We start from the raw sequence: 22787 nt of genomic DNA, 5'->3' as shown, positions 1-22787 counted from the left end.
ATCCTTACCCGCCAAGTCCGACCTCCGAAGAAGTCTGACAGGCACATACGAAAACCAGGCCTAAATTCAGTGAAATGGCCAAATCCATTCATTGGGATGGTATACATGACACCAATCCCAAATCATTTCATCTTGAGAATCACAGTAGGACTCTATTTCTACAAATATCACTAGGGAATGAGGACATTTTCTTATCAGGTAACTGAGGTTAGCAAGTGCATTACACTTGCAGGCACACCACGGTGGCAGCACAATAACCAATGCACAGGCTTTTCCTAACCAGGAGGCTGGGTCTGAGTCTTGGCAGGATTCAGAGTTGAAGGCACGGAGACAGTGCTTTGCACAGGACACAAACATTTCCACAGAAAGGAAATATGGAAAACAGATCATTACAATTAAAGTTTCCACTTTTCAATATAATGACTGCTAAACCATTTTTGAAGGGTAAATATGTTGCCCGCCCCCTAAAACAGGCAAAATGCATTTAATGTGTATCATCGAACATGTGCAAAGATTGCAGTAAATTGCTTCACAAACCCAAATTATTGCAATCAGCATCTTGTTTTCTAGTTCTAAATTCAAAGGCAAACTATTAACACACAAGACTGCTAACTCTTGCTATTATCACACTTGCTATTATCACACATCCTCCTTCTAACAAAACCACATTTCCAGATGGACTGCCAAAATTAGTCAAGTGACTCCTAAGAAACACTATCAAGACTGACATGCCAGAAATCCATTTAGAAATGAATGCTTTATTAAAATAAAGGACACACACACCCAAACACACCTTTCCTAGGGAAATTCAAGTTGCTTTCCTTACAATTGAACTTGAATTGAAGCTCAGGGAGGCCCCATTCGGAGGAAATGTTACCCAGTCAGCATGCTGATCAGTCCCGAGTCAAATGGGACAGACTTATGATTTGTGTGGGGGTTCTGGGGAGCTGGGCCTGACTGGGGAATCCTGATAACAAATTAGGCAAAGTATTTAAATTCAACCCAAATAAGGTACATATGATAGACAAATTCAGTCAAGAGGGTAGTGAGCCCTGTGATGACATCACTAGTTCCTCTTCTCTTCAGGATACTTTGTTTACTCTGCATTGGACACGAAGAAGACTACTTTTAAAAAACCTATGAATCTCCTGCAACACGTAACTCAAGGAGATTAGATTACTGAAGTGCATTCTGTTAGCAACCATTCCTGAAGAGTCTAATTATCAGAGCTGTCAGTTCCATGGGCCAGAACTAGCTTTGTTTGAATGTGGAAAACACAAGACAGCAATTTTCATATACGACTGAGGGAGCCACGGGCTCAAAACCCAAGTGGGCTCTGAGGCCAGAAAAGGAATCAGATCCTCTGTGCCAACAAAGGCTCACCCTGAGCAGATATGATTTAGAATTCCTCTTCCTCAAGGGAATGGCTAGCCTTTTCCAGGAGAAAAAATAATACCTTCTATCTGATGGCACCTTCTTGAACATACATACATGGAACACAGAAAAGTCACTTACCACTGGCCAGCTTTAAAGGAAAAGTCTTGATCAGCAACAAGCAAGCGGAGGCTCTTCACTGACGGTGACTCACTGGCAGCTCCACACACCTTAGCTGCTGACACAATCTAAAACCAAAAGATGAACTGTGGCTGAGGTTAGTGCGTACACAGCACAAGGGACAAATGGTGGCATCCTGAGAACTAAGGTTTTTGAAACCTACAAAGATGTGGTTTTTGAAAATTGCCAAACAAGGTAAAACACACTTTGCTTTAGTTCAGCCTACCACCATGTGAATACATTTTAATTAACTTTTTTTTGAGAGACTTGCTATCATACTAATTTAATTTTATCCTACATTCAAAAATCATCTATTCAAGGGATCTTTTAACCGGCATTTATCTGATGAGTATCCACAATGTGCTGTGCACTGGGCTAGGCACTCTGGGAAGAGCTCAGGGAATTGGAACTCTGTAAACAAGCCAGGGTCTTATCAAGGAGCTGCCGTTAAATTCTCCATCAGCACTGGGCAAAGTGAGGCCCACTCTTGCTTCTGGGGGTGTAAGGAGCCCACAAAGAGCTAATTTCAGAAATCAAAAGCAGGCACTTAGAAACTTTTAACAATTTCACAGAACAATCTTGTGCCTATTGAGTCTAGTAACAGAAAACAAAATGGGTTTGCATTCTTCATGTCTTTGTTTTTAATTAATTTTCAAATTCATTTTTTATCACACGATATTTTATAAAATGGAAACAGATCACAATCTTAACAATAAAAAGAGCCCTTCCCTACAGATAATTTGAGAAGCACTATTTTTACATGATGTATCTGATTTCTGGAAAGCCTTGAATAGGTTTGACTCGGGAGCTATGCAGGTATGTGCCATTCATGGCTCAACACCCCTCAAATTCAAAAGGTATCTATTTCCTTTATTCTTTCATCTGCTTTGTGTTTCTTTGTCCTGTAAGCCTGGGACATCTTCACAAGCAAAGAAAAAAGACAACATGACTCTTTCCTTCCTCAACCTTCTATGTCTGTTCATCTTTACTTGTGGCAGCAAATCAGCAACTAACCAAAATATAGCCCTCTCCTTGGAAAGTGTGACCTTCACAGCTCCACCAAAGGGTGCTTTGGAAATCTGTCAAGGTCAATGAACGTCCCATCCTAATGCTAGCTCATGCAGGCCCTCTACTCCAATAGGACTACTAAATCTCATCAAACTATTAGTGGAGACCATTTTCAAAAATCCACTGGATAATTCTCATGATGGATGGTGGTCTCTCTCACCACCTCAAAGTATCTTCTAGTATTATCTACCTTTCTCTCCCTCCTGCAAAATACCTAACCTTTCTTTCTCCATATTTTTGTCAACCCTCTCTTGCTCCTCTCCTAAAAATCAACTGGGGTAATTTTCCATTACTGACCCTCTACCTGCACTCTTGGTCCTAGTCCTGCCTACTCTCTCAGAAACACTGCTCCATCAGCAACCACCAGCCCTTTCCTTCATGTTCAATTTTCCTCCCTTTAGTACATTCCTGTTTCATCAAAGATTACATCTAATGCCATTTGCAATTCAAAGCAATTCAGCAACAAAATAAAGTAAGCAGCAGAATATGGCTGTTAACAGCATGGGCTCTGCAGCTGGACTGCCTGGTATTTAGTCCTGGCTCTACCGCTTACCAGCTGTGTGACTCTGGGCAAGTTACCTAGCCCTCCTCAGCTATAAAATGAGAATAATACCACCTATACCTCATAGGGTTGCTGGGAGGATTAAATGAGATAATACTGACAAAAGTACTTACAATGCTGCTGGCCCACAGAACTCATTAATGTTGGTTATAATGTACAGTCATGTGCTGTGCAACGACATTTTGGTCAACGACAAAGCACATATACAAGGTGATCCCATAATACCAGATTTTTACTATTTTTCTATGTTTAGACACACAAATATTGTGTTACAAACGCCTGAAATATTCAGTACAGTAACATGCATATAGGTTTGTCCTCTAGGAACAATAGGCTATACCATTTAGCCTAAGTGTGTAGTAGGCTATCCCCTCCAGGTTTGTTTAAGTACACTCTATGTCTGCACAATGACAATCAGCTAATGACACATTTATCAAAACATCCCCGTCAGCAGGCAACACATGACTGTATTTCATTGTCTTAATTAAAATTAATTAGCATTTGTTTACATTATATATTACATTTTATTCATTTATAACTATATATGCCACCATACCAATGCTTTTGCACCAGGGCCTTAAAGACTGAGCACTGAACATCTCAGAGACTGCTCACATGGACAACAAGAAACTGCAGTGTGGTGGGCTTGTACATGTTTTTACCAGTGCAAACGTAAAAGCCATACTGTCTTGAATATATTTTAGAAATCTTGCCTTTCGTCTCTTCCTCTACTGAGACAATCAGCTCTTCTATAGCCCACAGAATCTTCCCTTTTTCCTTGATGCTCACCTTAACCACAGGTAACCTAGCTTCGGTGTTCTTGCAACTTCTCCTTTGACGGTTGGGGTCTTTCTGAACAACCAAACTCAATGTCCAGTCTCAGTTCTCACCCTCCCTGACCTCTCTGAATTTGGTATTTTCCACACTGATGCATTCTCCTTGTCTGGAACAGCCATATTGAACTTCTCAGGTCCCCTCCTGTTATCACTGACCTAGTCTTTCTCCTTTACCATTCCTTCTCTCACTTCTTCTGTAGGAGCTTTCCCTAAACTGCCTTGCTCCTACTGCCTCTACCACTCCAGGTTGAGGCCCTCAAGGACTCACAGACTACTACTCTCCTCCCACCTTCTGCTGACAACTCATCATTACTTTTCTGCCAATCACAAACTGACATCAACACTCCCCATAAGTAACAGCAGCCAATGCCTGAGGAGCATTTATCCCAGGTATATACCAGATGCTAGGTTAAATATTTTATGTGCATTCATTCATTCAGTTGATATGAATAATCATATTATATCCCAAGAGACAGTGTTGTTATCCTACATCTTGCAGATGAGGAAACTGAAAGATTCAGTAACTTGCTCAAGATCACCTAGCTAGGAATTGCGGATTCAAATCCAGGTTAGCTTGACCCTCCCTAAATCATCTGATGGTTCTGCTCCAGTGGTAAACGCACTTATGCCATACAACGAAATCCACCAAAGTCATTCCTTCCACGAACACTTATTGAGCATGGTGCCTGAAACTGGGGAACAGGGTATGCAGAGATAGAGAAGACTGCACCTGCCCTCACAGAGCCTTGCAAAATCAGCTTATTTCCATTACCAGATATTCAATTATGGATGCATCTTGGACTCAACACAGTCAATTACATTTTCAGTTGATATTCAAACACACATAAACTTTGACTCTTTCTGGTATACTGTCCCTAACACAGCCAAATTCCATAAATTTGGCTCATGTTTTTTCTTTCCCTTGCCTACTTGCCATCACCCTAAGCTGAGAATTTCTTTCTTCTCACTTGAACTACTACCTTGGTCTCCTTCTTGTGTCTCTCAAAGCAGCCAACAGGCAAATATTCCTAATGTTCCAACCTCACTGAGTTACTCTCCAGCTTAAAAACCTTAAACGGCTCTCTACTACTCAATCACCGAAAAAAAAAAAAAAAAAAAAAAAGCTGAAAGTCCCGTTTAACTCATACGAACTTGGGACTCCTCCTGGATCACTGTGCTTGTGGTTTTTTGGCCAAACTGGACAACCTGCTGGTCCTCAAAGGTACCTAACACCTGCCCTTCCCCAAAACCCTACCTAGGTCATTCAGCATGTGCCAAGCTCTCTCAGTTCTACCAACCTTCTGCTCACCCTTCTAGGCCCTGCTCAAGTAACACCCCCTGCCTGAGGTCCTCCCTCTTCTCTTCATACTCTCAACTCTACCAATATAATGTTTTTGCCTTTCTGACCATATTCAGCATGTATAAGTCAACTCCCTAGATGAAGCACAGGGCCCAACACACAGTAAGGCTCAGTAAGTATTTGCAGAATGAATAAAAACTTGAACTTTAAGTCACTTAAAATGGTTTTTCAGAACAAAGATTGGTAGAAATGCAGGAGCACTTTTTTTTTTTTTTTAAGCTGGGTGGATAGGGGAAGAGAACACTACAGAAAATCCAGATTCATGTTTAAAAGTATGGGAGAGTTCAGGGAGAGCAGACATTTATTTAGTAGAACTGGTATTTTCCTTTGTTTGCCACACATTCTTTTTTAAGTATCTTATTACAAAGACAAGTAATGAGAATCATCAGAGGTCTCTATTACTTCATTATTCCCCTTTTCTTACATTTACAGAAGTATTTTGGGAGACCAAGGCAGGCAGATAGCTTGAGCCCAGGAGTTTGAGACCAGCCTGGGCAACGTGGCAAAACCCCACATCTCTACAAAAAAAAAAAAAAAAAAAAAAAATTACAAACATTAGCTAGGCATGGTGGCACACTTGTAGTCCCAGCTACTCGGAAGGCTGAGGTGGGAGGATCACTTGAGCCTGGAGGTCAAGACTGCAGTGAGCCAAGTGAGACCCTGTCTCAAAAAAAAAAAAAAAAAAAAAGAAATGTTATTTTATAAACATTCATTTTTTTCTTTCGATATAATAATCTGTTAAAATACAGCCTCGAGGTAGATTATTTCATTTCTGACAGCTTAACTGGCATGTGTTGAATTCCTTAACAAAACTAGATAGGGAAAAGAATTTCAGCTGAGACACCTGAGAATGCGTCACGATCAAGTGCTAGGCTATGTGAAATGGAAGCATTAGTCATTTTCCAATGTCCAAATGTAAAATTCAATGAGGAAGGAAACAAGCTATACTTTCTATTAAGCCATATTTTCATTTGGATGCTGTCTATGACCAATTATTGGTATGACAGGCTGAGTATCCCTTACCTGAAATGCTTGGACCGGAAGTGTTTAGGATTTCAATTTTTTTTCAATTTTGGAATATTTGCATTATACTTATAGGTTGAACATCTCTCATGTGAAAATCTGAAATCCAAAAGGCTCCAATGAGCATTTCCTTTGAGTGTCACGTCAGTACTCAAAACGTTTTGGATTTTGGAGCATTTCAGATTTCAGATTTTTGCATTAGAGATACTCAACCTGAAATACAAACAGTAATGTACCTACTGCTATTTATCCTAACAAACTGGACAAAATTGTTTTATCTATATCTGGAACATAAAATACCCTGCACAATTCATTATTTTTAAAGACATGCTTCCCTGTTACTATTTTATTTTGCTTAACACAAATGCTGTATACTATATAGATTTCTAGCAATGTGGATTAAAAACATCAACGAAATCTTTTTGAAGACCACATATTTATTTTACTCCAAAAGCTAGTTCATATAATTAGGACCTGTAATTGTGGCCCCTGTTATATGCTATTCTTTTGTTGGATAGGCAAAACATAGTGGAGAAACTATTTATTTTATCATTTGTATTGGCTCTTATACTTAATGGATCGAAAGATTCACAACTGAAACCTCAACTATCCATGTCCTAAGTTAAAACACATGGCAGGAAATGAAGTTTTCCATAAAACAACATTTATGCTTTTCCAGTGTTCAGTAAAATAACAACACATTTGCCAACTTTACCAGTACACATGTTTAATGCTGAGGCAGAGTCAGCATCTAAAAGGAAATTCCATCACACTTGTTTAAAAAGCTGGTTTTATGTAGGATATTTTGATGTTACCGCTGGTGCAAAAGTCTCTGTACAGGAAATAGGTATTTCTTTGGAAACCTGGCTAGCTTTCCCTGTTCACTCCTGTTCATTCATTTTCTGGCTTAAAAATTTAGGCAAAGCCATGACTAGAGATGACCTAAAACAAAAATGTAGGTATGGTTCAGAGAATTTCAGAATTGAAGGAAACTTTAGTCATTATCAAGAATCATATGCCATTTTACACACAAAGACACCGAGACCCAGAGACATTATTTAAATGGTAGCAGAGTATCAATCTGATGTGTAGGAATCTGACTAGAAGCAGATTTTACTCAAGTGATTTACTAACAAAGGTAGACACAAAATTCTCCGTCAACCACACAATTTAACTTCTTAAATGGCTTATGCTGGTTAACACTATGCCCTAGAATGACAAGTAAACTCACTTTACTCCTACCAAAGGCTAACCTGTCCACCTGGGCTGGTCTCCTCTCCGTCTTCTCAAGCCTTCCCTCCAGCAACTATCCTCTCTCCTGCATCACACCCTCTCTACCCTCCCCATCAGAACACACGAGCTCTAGGATCTCCCACCTCATGTAACATGTAACAACAACAACAGCAGCAAACACTTATAGACATCCTTACCATATGTCAGGCACTTTACATACATTGATTCACTCAGTCTTCACAACTCTAGAAAGCCAATATTATTATATCCCCATTTTACATATGAGAAAACTGAGGTCCCAGAGCCAGTAAGGGGCAAAGCAGATTTAAAACCAGGCACTTGTGGTCTTTGCTGCTTTTCAAAATACAACAAACAAAACAAGCTTCTCCTTTAATCCAGCTTTCACCCCATTTCTCTGCTCCCATTCATATTACAACATTTCAAGAGTTACATATGGTCCTGTCTCCACTTTCTCATCTCCCATTCTCTCCTCAACACAATCTGATCAGGCTTTCACCCTCAGTAATGTACTAAAGCCAGTCATTCTGGTCACCCACTATCCACTTTGGTAAATCCAGTGATGACCTCTCAGCAGAATTCAGCACAGTTGGCTCCTCTCTCTTTCTTGAAATACTTTTCCCCCTGGCTCCAAGAACACTCTGCTGATCTCCTTCCTATCTGGCTGGCCACTCCTTCTCCATCTCCTTTGCTGGCTCTTGCTCTTCTGCTTGGCCTCTAACTGTTGACACATTCCTGGGCTGAGTCCTGAGTCCTCTTCCCTTACTCTCTACGTGGCCTCAACTTTTCATCTCTAGCAGTTAAACTCTCATCTCACATGTCCAACAGCCTGTTTAATTTCCATTTCAAATTTAACACAGCCAACAGGGAACTCTTTTTTTCTCCGGCACTGTGCTAGATACTATGATTACAGAGCTGCTAAACTGGGCCTTTCCCCAAGGAGCCTCCCTTTCTTTGTAGCCTTCAACTCACAGAAGAGTTAGTTACACACCCCTAGGGGCCAGAGGCCAGCTGCCAGGGCCATCAGACTATACTTCCTTGGGAGTTTTTCTAAGAGCTGCAGTCCAGCCCCCCAGATCCCCTACAACTACCTCCAGGCAGTGAGTGCCTGAGGTTTCTCTCCACCTGCTCTGCTTTGTCACTGCTGACAGTGTGAAGCCAGGAGCGTCAAGCACTGCTCATCCCAGGCTGGATCATCTCTAAAAGGTTCTTTGACCATCAAGCTCTAATAACCAAAGCAAGTTACAGGAATAACTGTTGAGAAACAGTGCATGTTGAAAAGATGCCCCCTACCTCAAATTGAAGTGACCACTCTACCACAATCTCCTTGACATGCATAGGTGATGACCAGTAGAGAATTGTAAAAGTTAGCCTTGGGACATAGTCCACTCTGCAGCTAAGCAGACCATCCCATTCAAACCCAAGCCTCATCAAGATCACAAGCGGATTATAAGCATTGGAAAATCAGCACCTGGAACTGTAGGATCCCCAAAGGCATCTGCCCCAGGGGCCCAGCCATTTATTAACTAACCACTCTGCCATCAGTATCTCCCCCGTTTCTCATGCCTAGTAACACATTGCTCAATTAAGCCTTGTCCGTCTAAACAGAGTGTCATATTCTGCTGTAACATAAAGGAAAGCTGATTTTATTATCAAAGATCTGAGTTCAAGGACTGAGTCCTTGTCCCTTGAACAAGTCCTTTAAACTTAGGACAACAATATAATTTATCATTCAAGACAGAATAATTTTGAGAGTGAAAGTGAGTGCTATTACACCAGGAACGAGAGGCATAAACCAGGACTATTTCAGGCAAATGAGGAAGCAGGGTCATCCTACCTAAATCTTTGATTCTTAATCCCCTCATCTGTGAAATAGAAATTAAAATCCCTACATGTCCCTCCCAGAATGGTTGTGAGAATCAAGTACCAATCTGTTGTATAATCTGGTGCTTTGTAAACAAAAAGGCAACATACACATAAGATACTGTAGGAAAAGACACAGGCTTCTAAAAGCAAACTAGTACAATAGAAAAAGAATTAGAAAGATTTCCAAAATCAATTAGGTGCATAAAGTCTTCTGATCAGAGTCCCATTAAAATCTGAGGATAGGAGCTTATCTATCATTTTCAATGCTGTAACCCCAGGATCTGGCCCAGGGTCTGGCACATTTCCAAATGAACAAATGAATGCATATGAATTAGTAATTTAAGAAATTCTTTCACTGCCAAACTCTCCCAACAAACTGATGAACAGAGCATATATTGCTCAGTAGGCCAACAGTCTGTAGAGGCCAAGCACGGAATGACCCCCTCCAGTAAAATTTGTCTTGCCTGAACAATCTTTACTGCATTACAGTATTTCTATCTTTATCTCCTTGACATTTCTAGGGTTACTCAGACTGCTTATTCTTTTGATTCTTAAGAATAAAATGAATAAAACTTGAACACAAACATTCCAATGTAATTCAATTCAGAGTTCAGTTTCCTCCATCAGCACAATCTCAGACTACTTACAGTTACAGTCCCAAGTAAGAAGCATAAACATCATAAATGGTCATTCAGTAAACTTTCCAGAGGAAATACATGCCCAAAACCAAAAGAACATTTCTGGGTGAGTATTCCATTTCCTGTCGACTCCAAGAGTAGCAACACAGTCCTTTAGCTAGGAATTCTGAGCTGGAGCTTCCTTTCGTCACTGAGAGACATGTCCTAGGCCCTGCTTCCTCTTTGTAAAATCCAGATGGCATCGTATCCTTAGGCTACCTCATGGACTTGAACTGAAGAGCAAATAACATGTGTAAAGTATACTCACTATACAAATTAAAGGCAAGAATGGAAGACGAGACTATAAGAAGCTGATCCAGTTCTGTTATGGCCAAACCTGAGGTGCCATTCATTTCAACGAGTCCAGGGTCCAGCCCCTACTCTATGGCTAGGAGCACCCTCTGGAGATTGGGGCAAGTTCCTAATGACCATATACTGCTGAGAAAGCCAGATACCATCTAGCTTTCTCCAGTTCCTCCCAACTCTTCGCAGTTCTCATTCTGTATGGGAGAAGAGGGGAAATTAGAAACAGAAGAGGAGGGCCAGGAGCTGTGGCTCATGCCTGTAATCCCAGCACTTTGGGAGGCCGAGGAGGGCAGATCATGAGGTCAGGAGTTCAAGACAAGCCTGGCCAACACAGTGAAACCCCGTCTCTACTAAAAATACAAAAAAAAGTTAGCCGGGCATGGTGGCAGGCGCCTGTAATCCCAGCTACTGGGGAGGCTGAGGCAGGAGAGTCACTTGAACCCGGGAGGCAGAGGTTGCAGTGAGCCAAGATCGCACCATTGCGCTTTTAGCCTGTGCAACAAGAAAGAGACTCTGTCTCAAAAAAAAAAAAAAAGAAAGAAAGAAAAAGAAACAGAAGAGGAGAAGAGATGCAACTAAAAATTTCCTGAAAGGTAGTACCATGATTGGATTTTCCTGTAATTTTCTGACTTGTGGGCACTAAAATTCTCAAGAGTTTGCATTAACTTTCTTTGTAGTTTACCTAAATTTGGCTCAAAATAACCCCCAAAAGTCCCAATAATTTTGTCCTATAAAATTCTGAAATGGAAGAAGGGCCGCCTTGCACCTTTTGCTGGCCCCGGGTCTCCCAGGACCTCATACAAGTGAAACTCAGCTATACAGGACAGCGATTTACTCTACAAATCGCCAGGAACAAAAAAAACAAAGACCAGAAGCTGAGTTTTTACCCATTTCCTCTAAATGACAAAGAAACACTTGAAAAGTGGTAAAAAAAAAAAAAAAAAATAGCAAGATTGATGGGTTTCTAGTAAATACCAGTTACTATGTAGTGACCATTTCACTCCTGACTCTCTTGACATCAGACGGGGGATTTGATATTTAAAACAAAGTACAGTTCCAACAACTTTTTCCTCTGCCTGAAGACAATCAAGTAAAAGATCCTTCTTAAAAAAAAAAAAAATTCACAGAAGAAACAATTGGAAGATGAGAAAAAAGTATGCCTAAAAGCCAAATCAGAAAAATCACTTGTATTAAATGAGGCAAAGAAAAATATAGTTAACACAGATGTGCTCCCTGAACACGCAATTACTTGATTCATCTGCCTTGGTGAAGCCACTGGCTTCTAAAACCAAGAAGTATACAAAATACTTGTTAACTCTTTTCTTTTTGAGACAGAGTCTTACTCTGTTGCCCAGGCTAGAGTGCAGTAGCGCAATCTTGGCTCACTGCAACCTCTGCCTCCCAGGTTCAAGTCAAAATACATGTTAACTCTTAAACTAGTTAAACAAGATTAACTAGGAAACCAGAATCTACGTTGGAAACATCAGTTAACTAAAATATGGATATAGGTGCTTTTCACACATCTTTTGAGTATCTAAATTTTACAACTATTACTTTGATAATTTCAAATTCAGAAGGTATTCAACAGTCTTTGGAAACCCAAGAAGTGCTTGAAATAACTACCAATCATCTTGCTAATCCAAATTTTACAAATATTCCATGAAAATCAGGTCAGCACAGGATAATTCATTCTTATTTAGCACAATTAATCAAACAGTTGAAGAATTAAACACAAATAAATAATCTATTATTGCCATTTTTCTAAACCCGTAGTTAATTCTTTTATATCTGCCCAAAAAGAAACCAGGGAAATGGAAGACATAGACATTGAAGACTCCTTACATAAGGATGTAAACTATGGAAGATTCTTTTCTTTTCTTTTCTTTTTTAAAGAGACAGGGTCTTGCTCTGCCACACAGGCTGGAGTGCAGTGGCACCATAATAGCTTACGTTAGTAACCTTGAACTCCTGGGTTCAAGTGATCCTCCTGCCTCAGCCTCCTGAGTAGCCAGGACTACAAGCACACCGCCATGTCCAGCTAATTTTAACTTTTTGCAGAGACTGGGTCTTGCTATGTTGCCCAAGCTGGTCTTAAACTCCTGGTCTCAAGTGATCCTCCTGTTTCAGCCTCCCAAAGTGCTGGGATTACAGACACGAGCCACTGCGCTTGACCACAAATTGAACATTCTTACTGCAGACAAGACACAACTAAAGAACATTTTTGGCAGAAAGTCTGTAAGCTACATTCTAAGATAACTCTTCCTGACCTACAAACAACAAACTATAGGTAGACTGAAGTCTTTGGAAGTTCTTATAAGACAGCCAAAGCAGGAAAACTGGCTATCTGAAGAAAATGTCAGATGATAAAAAACTGTTTTACAACAGGGGATGTCACTATGATACAGAGTAAAAAGGCTTTAAAGCTATGACTGTTTTATAAGCTTTCTCCAGCCAAATCAAACTTTATGTAAAGGGAACTTTTTCCTGTATAAAGTTCTGATCTTAAGGAACTATGAGAGTGCTCTAATGTTATCAACTGTATCCTGTTCTTAAAATGCTCATTTTTAGAAAAACTAGAGAGTTGTGCTGAAGAGAAAAAGTTTTATTAGTTGATAATTTTCCAAATTAAAGTTAAAATTCGGTGAATAAATGGTACGATTCGGTCATAACATGAAAGAACAAGGGCATGTTCAAAAGAACCTGAAACAGACGTCAGGTTCAGCAATCAGTCCTGGTTTCACCACTGGCATATATGGCTTGGGCAAGTTACTTATCAAGACTGAAGCTCAGTCCCTAATCTATAAAATATTTACTAGATCTCTAATAGTCTGTTTCTTTATAGTTCTTTCCCTTTTTCTTAAGATAATTTTGTTAGAACAGGTTTTCCCTAAGATTAGACATACTTTCATAATACTAGAAGTTGGCTAGAATTTGACATTAACTATTGCATTATCCTCAGTATTTACTGAATTCTGTGTTGCCTGACCTTTTGGCTATAGTTATGTATCTGTTACATAAAGGAAAATACACCTTTTATAATTTTATTCCAGTGGAACCAAACTAAGGAACTGCCCCTTAGCCGAGTTCTCAGGTGAGGTACTTCAAACTTGAAAGAATATGTATATCAGTACTTTATATGTCACTAACCATCATAATACATAGTCATTTAAGCTTAACATACTGTAGTTATAGTTATATTTATAAACCAAAAATTTTAATGAGGTTAATTTTAAATATATTTAAGTATATTTTAGAAATCATAGTTGATATCTTTTGTTTTTTTTTTTTTTTTTAGTGATAGTACAGTGATTTATTGGAAGGGGGAAAGCACACACCCAACAAAAGGGAGTGTGAGCGTACTCAGAGAGAGACGTGCCATTAGCATCTATTTCTTAATAGGTGTAACCTTTAAAGTATGTGCCTGCCTCATTTGTAAACCACAGAATACTGAATACTGTACATTCCCACTTATGTATATTTTATTAAAATTAATAAGCAAGAAATTATAGATAAGTGGTGATAACCTTAGGGAGATAAAGGTCTTTTATTAGGAAACAGAAATGATGGTGATATAAATAAAAATACTGTTTATATCCACACAAATTTGAAAAATGTAAAAGACTTTGTGGTAACAATAAAAATGTGAGAAATAGATATGTTTCCTTAGAATTGGCAGTCAACATAATTAAGTATGTTAATGCCTATGATGGATGCTGTGCAAGTTCCTATTAGTCCGATTCTTAGTCTTTTCATCTGTTAAAAAGAAAATACTGGCCAGGTGTGGTGGCTCATGCCTGTAATCCCAGCACTTTGGGAGGCCAAAGAGAAGGGATCACTTGAGGCCAGGAGTTCAAGACCAGCCTGGGCAACACAGCAAGACCATCTTTACAAAAAATTAAAAATTAGCTGAGCACAATAGTGTGCCTGTAGTCCTCGCTAATCAGGAGGCTTAGGCAGGAGGATCAGTCGAGCTTGGGAGACAGAAGCTGCTGTGAGCCATGACTGTACCCCTGTACCCACTGCACTCCAGCCTGGGTGACAGAGCAAGACTCTGTCTCAAAAAAAAAAAAAAAAAACAAGAAAATACTATTAACTATCTATCTATCTTACCTGTCTTAAAATATTATTATGTATCTTACGGCATAGTTTTGAGAATTCTGTAAGGTAAGAAACAAGTTTTTGGTCCTGGAAAACAGGAGGTGCTCAGTAAATATCAGTTGACGCTAAACAGTAAATAATATACTAATTGTTTGTAAATGCTTGATGATTCTTTTTTGCTTATATTTCACTTAGTTTCTGCAGGCTATTAAAATTAATTGGTCTTGTAAAATAAAATTCTGAAATGAATACTCTAATTCAGGGACTAGCAAATTATTACCTGCAGGCCAAATCTGGGTGTTTGGTAAATGAAATTTGTATACATACTGTCTATGGCTCTTTTCACATTATAAAATCAAAGATTAGAAGTTGTAATTAAGACAGCACGGCCCAAAAAATCTAAAGTATTTACTATCTGGCCTTCTAGGGAAAGATTTTCAACCTCTGCTCTAATTCTACCAGCCTCAAAATACAACAGGAAAGAGCCTGTAAGATAAATCACTTTTTTTTTTCATAATTTGCAAGGCCTTCATTTTATAAAAAGAAATCCTAACAAGTCTCACATTTACAGAATCAGCATTTTTGGTCACTTGAACAAACCAAAAAAAAAGTATTTTCAGATTTATTATTGGAAAAAGTGTACTTCCCCACAAGCTCCTAAATCTACTATGCTAAACTAATTTTACAGACTTCTCAAAAAAAAAAAAAAAAAAAAGAACTTTAAGCTGAATCAACAAACACATTACCCTTAGTCCCAAAGTAACTTTCTGAAAGAAGTTAGCCTTAAAAGTAGGGCCTAAACAATATGCCTTTACATTAAAGTGTATCCTTCTATTAATAGATAAATTTAAATGAGACAATATAATTTCTGCCCATGTTTGTAGAAGTATATAATCCTTCTTTACATGAAATAGTTTTTTTATTGTTAGCTTACATATACTTATAACACTAAGCTAAATATATCTGAGTAAGTGATAAACATTCAAAAAAGCAAAATCAAATATCCGATTTATGTTTTTAAACAAAAATGGGGTTACTCACTGAGGTAAAGGGTGAGGATCCTTTATTTCTCAGCCCTTGACACCCCTTCAGGTGGTAGATTAGCTTTCTATAGTCTGAATATGGTGGAAAAAATCTGTACATTAGAAGGGTAACAAGAGCTCGTCCACTTTCCTTTCTCAGATGTTAGTGCTTTCTCCCTTGATGAAATAAGTTGCTCTAAAGCAGGAATGAGAACAAGAACTTTGAGATGTGACGCAAAAAAAAAAAAAAGACCCCACACAAAAAAACAGAGAAAGGTAAGCTATTCATAAAATGTAGGCTTTAAAGGAAGTTCTAGTGCTAAAACATAACCCTAAACATCATACCTGTGAGGATGGCTCCCTCAGTTGCTGCTCTACTTGCTTCATCAAAAGGTAATCCATTCATTCCAAGTTTAAAGGGAAAAATTTGAGTATCTGTCATCTTTTCAAATCAGATATCAAATGTCCTGCTCAGAAAATTTCTAAATAGAAAAATAACAAACTTCCCAACTCTCCTTCAAAAGGACCAGACTCATCTAATGCTTTACCCATAAGCCAGTCATAACCACATGTAAACGGTCTAGCTGGAAAAACCTGTCATACCCCAAAGATACAAACCTCCCGTCGAAGGACACTTGCAGTTCTCTCCATGTGATCAGTTTTCCTTTTGGATTTCATTATGCTTTAATAGAAAGTAAAATTAGGTTATTACATATTATCCTCATAAAAATAATAAAATTAGTTTTTCCTGAAATATCATGGTTATCCTAAATACAGTGTAACATTACAGATCCTATAAAATGGCCAGTGAGTATCTGCCCGTCTAACTAAAGTTTTGGCCGGGCATGGTGGCTCATGCCTGTAATCTCAGCACTTTGGGAGGCCGAGGCAGGCAGATCATCTGACGTCAGGAGTACGAGACCAGCCTGGCCAACATGGAGAAAGCCTTTCTCTACCAAAAATACAAAAATTAGCTAGGTGTGGTGGTGCACGCCTGTAATCCCAGCTACTCGGGAGGCTAAGACAGGAGAATCACTTGAATCCAGGAGGTGGAGGTTGCAGTGAGCTAAGATCGTGCCACTGCACTCCAGCCCAGGCGACGGAGCAAGACTCCATCTCAGACAAAAAAAACGGTTAACAACCTGACAGCATGCACATTGAAGCTAAGGTGTTACCTTTCCGGGAGTTTGATATGCCTCCCACAACCATCAGCAGGTCGGGTCTCTTTGAAAATTAACTTCAAATGACACAGAAGTCTTAATGACTCACCTGGTTAGAGTAAGGTGGCGCAAAGTGCTGAGTGTCAATCTCAGTGACGCAGCCTCAATACGGATGGCTCCAACAGAGCACCGCAACAACCCAGGAATCATAACAGCAGCACAGGCCATGGCGCTTTCTGGGCAAACAGAAAACTGAAATTTCAAATTGTTTTTTTAAAAGTGGGGAAATATCAGACTATTTTAGAGGGTCAGTGAGGAAGAGTGTGGATTTCTGTTGGTGCTATTATGAGTCAAGTTACCACCAAAGCAGCCAAGAGCCTAACTTCACCTTGACAAAATTTCTGCCACTATTTAGAGTTGACTCAAGGTATCTCCACAATTATGTATATAAGTATGTAATTTTTGGTATTATCAAATATTCATGTTCTCTATCACTTTCTAAAATCTCTGGCCAAGTTCACATGACTAATCTTATGCTATTATAGAAGAGGGGAGATTTTATAACTTCCTGATAATTGTATTCTACCTGAAGAGTACTGCATAAGTCTTTTATATTTCTTGTTAAGTGTAAGAGGAAGATAAATTTACAACGGTTCCCAAACAAGAAGCTTAAGGTTTCCAGATATTAAAAAACCAAAACAGAAAATAATAACACTATTCCTAATAGCCCAAACTGGAAACTATCCAAATGCCATTACTACAGGAGATAAGGTAACTGTGATACATTCACACAGTAAGATATACTACACAGCAATGAAAACAAACTGCAACTACATGCAGTAACACAGATGAATTACCACAAATAACATACTGAATGAAAGAAGCCAGACCCCAAAGAACAGATATTCTTTTATTCTAATCATATAAAGTATAAAAACAGAGAAAATGAATCCATGATGTCAGAAATCAAGTTAGCAATTTCCCTTGGGAGGTGGTAGTGACAATGTTGCTTCTTAATCTGGGTGCGGATTGCATGGGTATTTTCACTTTTTGTAAAAACTGATTAAGCTGTCCTCTTAGGATCTGTGTAGTTTTCTGTTTGTACTTGAACTTCAACAAAAAGTTAAACACACACACAGATTCTTCAACATTTCAAATTCTAAAAACTACCAGCCTGTCAAGAAAAGCACTGATTAGGAGTCAGATGATATTTCTTTTTGGTTCCTTTTCCATCATTTTCCTATGTCAATTTTTAAACATTTCTTTGTCTAAAATGGCCACATTTAACATGTTACATTGCTCTATTTGTCCATCTTAGTTACCTTGAGAATAAATGAAAATGCATGTGAATACTTTTTTTTCTGAGCTTTTTGGGAGGCAGTATATAAATTAATTGTGATAAATTGCTGTTAGCAAAATATTCAAGCTAAGTGTTTACATTCCTACTCCATATTCATTAATTTGGTCCTTCATTCAACGAGTATCTATCAAGAGTCCACTATGTGGCAGGCACTGGCCTAAGCAATGGTGCTTTAGGCATGAAGAAAACAAAAACTCTCTTAGAGAGCTTGCATTCCAATAGATGAAGACAGAAAATAAATAAAAATAAATAAATCTGATGGTGATATAAGTCATATGCAGTTTATTTGGTTATACCCAAATCATATTAAAAAGCTCACTGCTTCATAACTAGTCTTTAGATAAACGATATATTTCTTCTTGTCATAGTATGTTGCAGCATCATTGCGGATAAGCATGCTACTTGCTATTTTTCTCTTTACTAAATGAAAAAAGCAGAAGGCCTCTTCAACCTCATTCAAGACCACTAAACGTAGTTTTTCTCCATTAAATGTTCTAAGTCAATAATGTTACCTTAATCCCTGAAAGAAAGAAGTTGAAACTTACCTTAGAAGTCCACGAGATTTTAGGAGTCATTAAGTATATGGTCAGCTGATTGACAGAATATTTTGGTCCTGCTATTACACTGAGACTTTTGGATGTACAGCAGTTGGAACATGGACAGCTTTTCCATGCATTAAAATTCTCACAAAGTTCCTGCAATGGCACAAACAACATATAACAATGTTTTGGGGAACTGATCAAAAGCACTATTACCTCTTAGCTGCCAAAGGAAAGGCTCATTAAAATCAGTAGGCATCACCTCACAACAAGCCCACTCTCAATTACCCCCTCTCCATCCATTCTTTCCTCCATGCTTCCATTTTTCTTTTTTGATTATTTATCTTACAGCTTATTTTGTTCATCTTCCTTGCCTGTCTTTAACACCTGCTACTTAGGATATCCACCCCAGGAAACAGCAGACCAAAGGCTAGAATGACACAGTTACATGTCATTTAAGGCCAAGTTCCCTGATAAAATTTAACCACTATATTGTTAAATATGGAAATACTGTTCTGTTCAATGTTTTAGACAACTATTGCTAAAATAAGTTGTCCTCACAATAGGATACATCATTTAATGATTATGCTGTTTGAATGGTCCCCTTCTCAACTGAACTGGAAAACAAATGTTAATTTTAAAAGTAGTTCTTCCCGGGCACAGTGGCTCATATCTGTAATCCCAGCACTTTGGGAGGATGAGGTGGGTAGATCGCCTGAGGTCAGGAGTTTGAGACCAGCCTGGTCAACATGGTGAAACCCCATCTCTACTAAAAATACAAAAAATTAGCTAGGTGTGGTGTCGGGCGCCTATAATCCCAGTTACTAAGGAGGCTGAGGCAAGAGAATCGCTTGAACCTGGGAGGCGGAGGTTGCAGTGGGCCAAGATCATGCCATTACACTCCAGCCTGGGCAACAAGAGCGAAACTCAGTCTCAAAAAAAAAAAAAAAAAAAAAAAAAAAAAAAAAGGAGTTCTCTTTAAAATCCTAAGATTTTATTTTGTGAAAGTAACCATGACCAAGAGTGCCACCTACTGGTAAATAAAGGACATTTTTATAAAATTCTGTTTAAAGTGCTTTCCAAAGCTTTATGCCAGTCCTTTAAATAAAATATAAAAAATTTAAAACCTACTAATTTTTTGAAATATGTCCGGCGGTTCCATACTGTAAGCATTTAATCAACCACAGCAGATCAATATATATCAAGTTATTTCTAAAACCATATAAAGTAGACCATCCCATCAATGTCTGTATCCTCACAGGCCTTCCCTTACCAAAAAATCTTAATTAACTTTATTTCTGAAATGCAGAAAAGTATAATAAGTGCTAAATAAAACTGACACCCATTAAATATGTAGTAAAACAAACTTCTGAAAGCAACAGATTAAATTTAACATTTAAGATTAATTATATGGTTTCAGTTCAACAGGTATACTCAGTTCATTCAACAACTACAGGGGTGCCAGGCACTATTTTAGGCCTTGGAGATATAATAAAGAACCAGACGCAAGGCCCTTGCCATCATGAAGCTTTTATTACAGTTCCAGAGACAGATAGTAGTAAACAAATAACAAGATAATTATAGATTATGATGAGTATGATAAAGGGAGTAAGAGTGATGGGGTAGGTGGGGGAAATATCAAGAAAGACATCTCTCCAGTGATGACACCTTGGCTGAGATCTGAATGATGAGGAAAAGGCGGCCAAGCAAATGTTAAAGGCAGACAACTCTGGCAGAAGGACTAGCAAGAGCAAAGGTCCAACACAGAAATAAGCCCGGCATGTTAAAGGAACCAAGGCCAGTGTGACTGGAGAGCAGTAAGCTGGTAAGAGTGAAATGAGATGAAGTCCAGCAGTCTATAGTAAGGGTAAGAATTTTATCCTAAGGGTAATGGGAAGCAACTGAAAAGTCTGAATCAATCAGGAGAAGGACAAGACCTAATTTATATTTTTAAAGGACTGCTCAAGTTGCTGTGGGAAGGATAACAGAGGGAGAGGGGCAGGAGTGGAAGCAGGAAACCCAGTTAAAAGACTCTGGTCTAAGATTATAATAAGGTAACAGCTACAGAGATGGCAGAAGTAGATGAACATGACATATATTTTGGAATTAGAGCCCCAAAACTTGCTGATACATTAGGCAGGGTGTGAGAGGACACTGACAGAGAAAAGCCAAGAATGCCTCAATAAGCATAAATGCACTGAAATTAAGTAAGTTCAAAGAACAATCATGACATCTGTCAATTTAGAATCTTAGGTGTCACTGAGGAAGAAAAAGGGCTCCTCTTGCTCCAACAGGCAAAGACACCTTAGTGGTAAACAAGTAGTATACACAGAGTATTTGACCGGAAATCAGCGGAACTGGGCTCAGGTGTGACTCCTTCCTGCTTTCTAATCTTCAGCAAGTCTCCTCTTGCCATTTTAACATTACCCACGCCACCTCACTGGATTACTGAGAGGAATAAATAAAATGTCTACCAAAGTACCTGGCAAGCAACAGTGTTACTAAAATCAATCCTAATACATTGACCCCTTCTCTTCCTTGTCAAACAACCTAGAGAGGTGGAGGTTTGGTATTGCCAATAAACAACTCCTTCTGGCCTGATATACAACAGCACTCATCAAATATAGTTTGCATTATACAATTATGACCTACTTCTTTTTTTTTTTTTTTTTTTTTTTTGAGACAGCGTCTAGCTCTGTCGCCCAGGCTGGAGTGCAGTGGCGTGATCTCAGCTCACTGCAATCTCTGCCTTCCAGGTTCAAGAGATTCTCCTGCCTCAGCCTCCTGAGTGGCTGGGATTACAGGCACACCACCACACCTGGCTAATTTGTGTATTTTTTAGTAAAGACGGGGCTTCATCATGTTGGTCAGGCTGGTCTCGTATTCCTGACCTCGTGATCCGCCCTTTTAGGAATAAATGTAAAGTTTAGTAGTCATTGTAATGTTTTCTTCAAAAGTGCACAGGGATATATTATGTATATGTGTTACGTAAATGTAAACTAAATGTTATATATCATTGCTGAACCAAGTAAAGCTCATAATTTCCGTGCAAAAGTGGAACATTACATCTAAAAAGGATCTTATATCATCTCTACTCCAATCCTTTCTTAGAAGAGGAAATAAGGCCCAAAGAATGTAAATATCCAGTTGCCAGAGGTAATCAACAACTCAAGATTCCGATCCCAGATCTTCTCTCGAAAGTGCTTTTTCACTACAATGCATTTCTTCTCTACTAAGATATTAAAATGCCTAGTAATTAAGTAAGACCCAATGTAATCGGTTTTACCAAAACAGGCACTAGCACTGCTTTCAAGACAAAAATGCCTTTTATCTGCATTTCGCTTCAAGGCATACATAGGCCTCACACTGATAAACCTGCCTACTGACACCATTTCTTTCACAACGAAAAAACTGGTACTCACATAAGTAATTTGTTCCTGGGCTTTGGAGACAGACAAGCTCTTCATTATTTCCCAGGTGTATGATTTTAGTCAAGATGCCCAACTCTCTGTACCTCAGTTTAAAGATTAATAAAATGGAATAACATGTAAACTCCTAGAGTTGACAATTCCACTTAGTGCAATAGCTGGCACATAACTTCCCAATAATAAAAGGTGATGTTATTACTATTACTAAAAATCATCGTCGTTAATAATGTTATAAGCCTGGCAAACAGAAGACTAGAACTCAATCCCTGCCTTCCAGGGCTTGGTCCTTTCAGCAACACAATTTAGGGTATTTTAAGGCGTCTGGGGTGAGGAAGAAGCGGAATGTACCTGCAGCCAGGAATTAACAAGCTGACCGTCGCCCTGGGCTCAAGGTCACTCGGTGAAGCGAAATTCTACGGGAACTGTTCGTCCGTCACCAGGAAGGGAGGTCGAGGAGGCTAAGCTGCTCTCGCCTCCCCACCCCGCCTTTCCCGAGGGCCGGGAGGCTGCTACCTAGCACCTGCTGCAGCCTTCAGCGGGCTATTTAAGGCGTTAAAGCAGACGATAAGAAGCAGGGAAACTTTCCCCGCTGGCACCTAGCTTGCAGACCCGGCCACGTTTAGTTGCAGGCGCCTGGAATACTCCGCGGTCCCAGACGTGACGTAGCAGCGCGGGCG

The 22787-nt window shown here is 39.1% G+C and overlaps 1 protein-coding gene and 1 pseudogene across 20 annotated transcripts in view, besides 1 other annotated feature; one reads left to right on the top strand and one right to left on the bottom strand.

The window, feature by feature from the left end:
- Positions 1–22752, bottom strand: part of OXNAD1 (oxidoreductase NAD binding domain containing 1) — an 86884-nt gene extending 64132 nt beyond the window's left edge. For 6 of the 20 annotated variants that reach the window (NR_148217.2, NR_148218.2, NM_001352982.2 and 3 more), the window contains exons 1-6: positions 22459–22752; positions 18689–18838; positions 16893–17019; positions 16242–16305; positions 15643–15819; positions 1516–1622 (exon numbers count right to left, since the gene is read on the bottom strand). Coding sequence is in view for 13 of the 20 variants with exons in the window: in NM_001352982.2 (NP_001339911.1) it covers positions 1516–1622; positions 15643–15744 (209 nt within the window). In the remaining 7 variants the exon portion in view is untranslated. Of the gene's footprint in view, positions 1–1515; positions 1623–15642; positions 15820–16241; positions 16306–16892; positions 17036–18688; positions 18839–22104 lie in introns of all 20 variants that reach the window. The other 14 variants (NR_199631.1, NM_001440211.1, NM_001352978.2 and 11 more) reach the window with 4 other exon arrangements.
- Positions 1564–1703: a silencer, noted in NCBI's record as "silent region_14113". NCBI's record gives its function as "represses an Ori minimal core promoter by ATAC-STARR-seq in GM12878 lymphoblastoid cells {active_cell/tissue: GM12878}" and the evidence as "EXISTENCE:reporter gene assay evidence [ECO:0000049][PMID:35858748]".
- On the top strand, positions 11260–13105 carry THAP5P2 (THAP domain containing 5 pseudogene 2; annotated as a pseudogene).

Source organism: Homo sapiens, chromosome 3 (genome assembly GCF_000001405.40).
Source record: "Homo sapiens chromosome 3, GRCh38.p14 Primary Assembly".
Lineage (NCBI taxonomy): Eukaryota > Metazoa > Chordata > Mammalia > Primates > Hominidae > Homo > Homo sapiens.
This window is presented reverse-complemented; position numbering and strand designations above follow the sequence as displayed.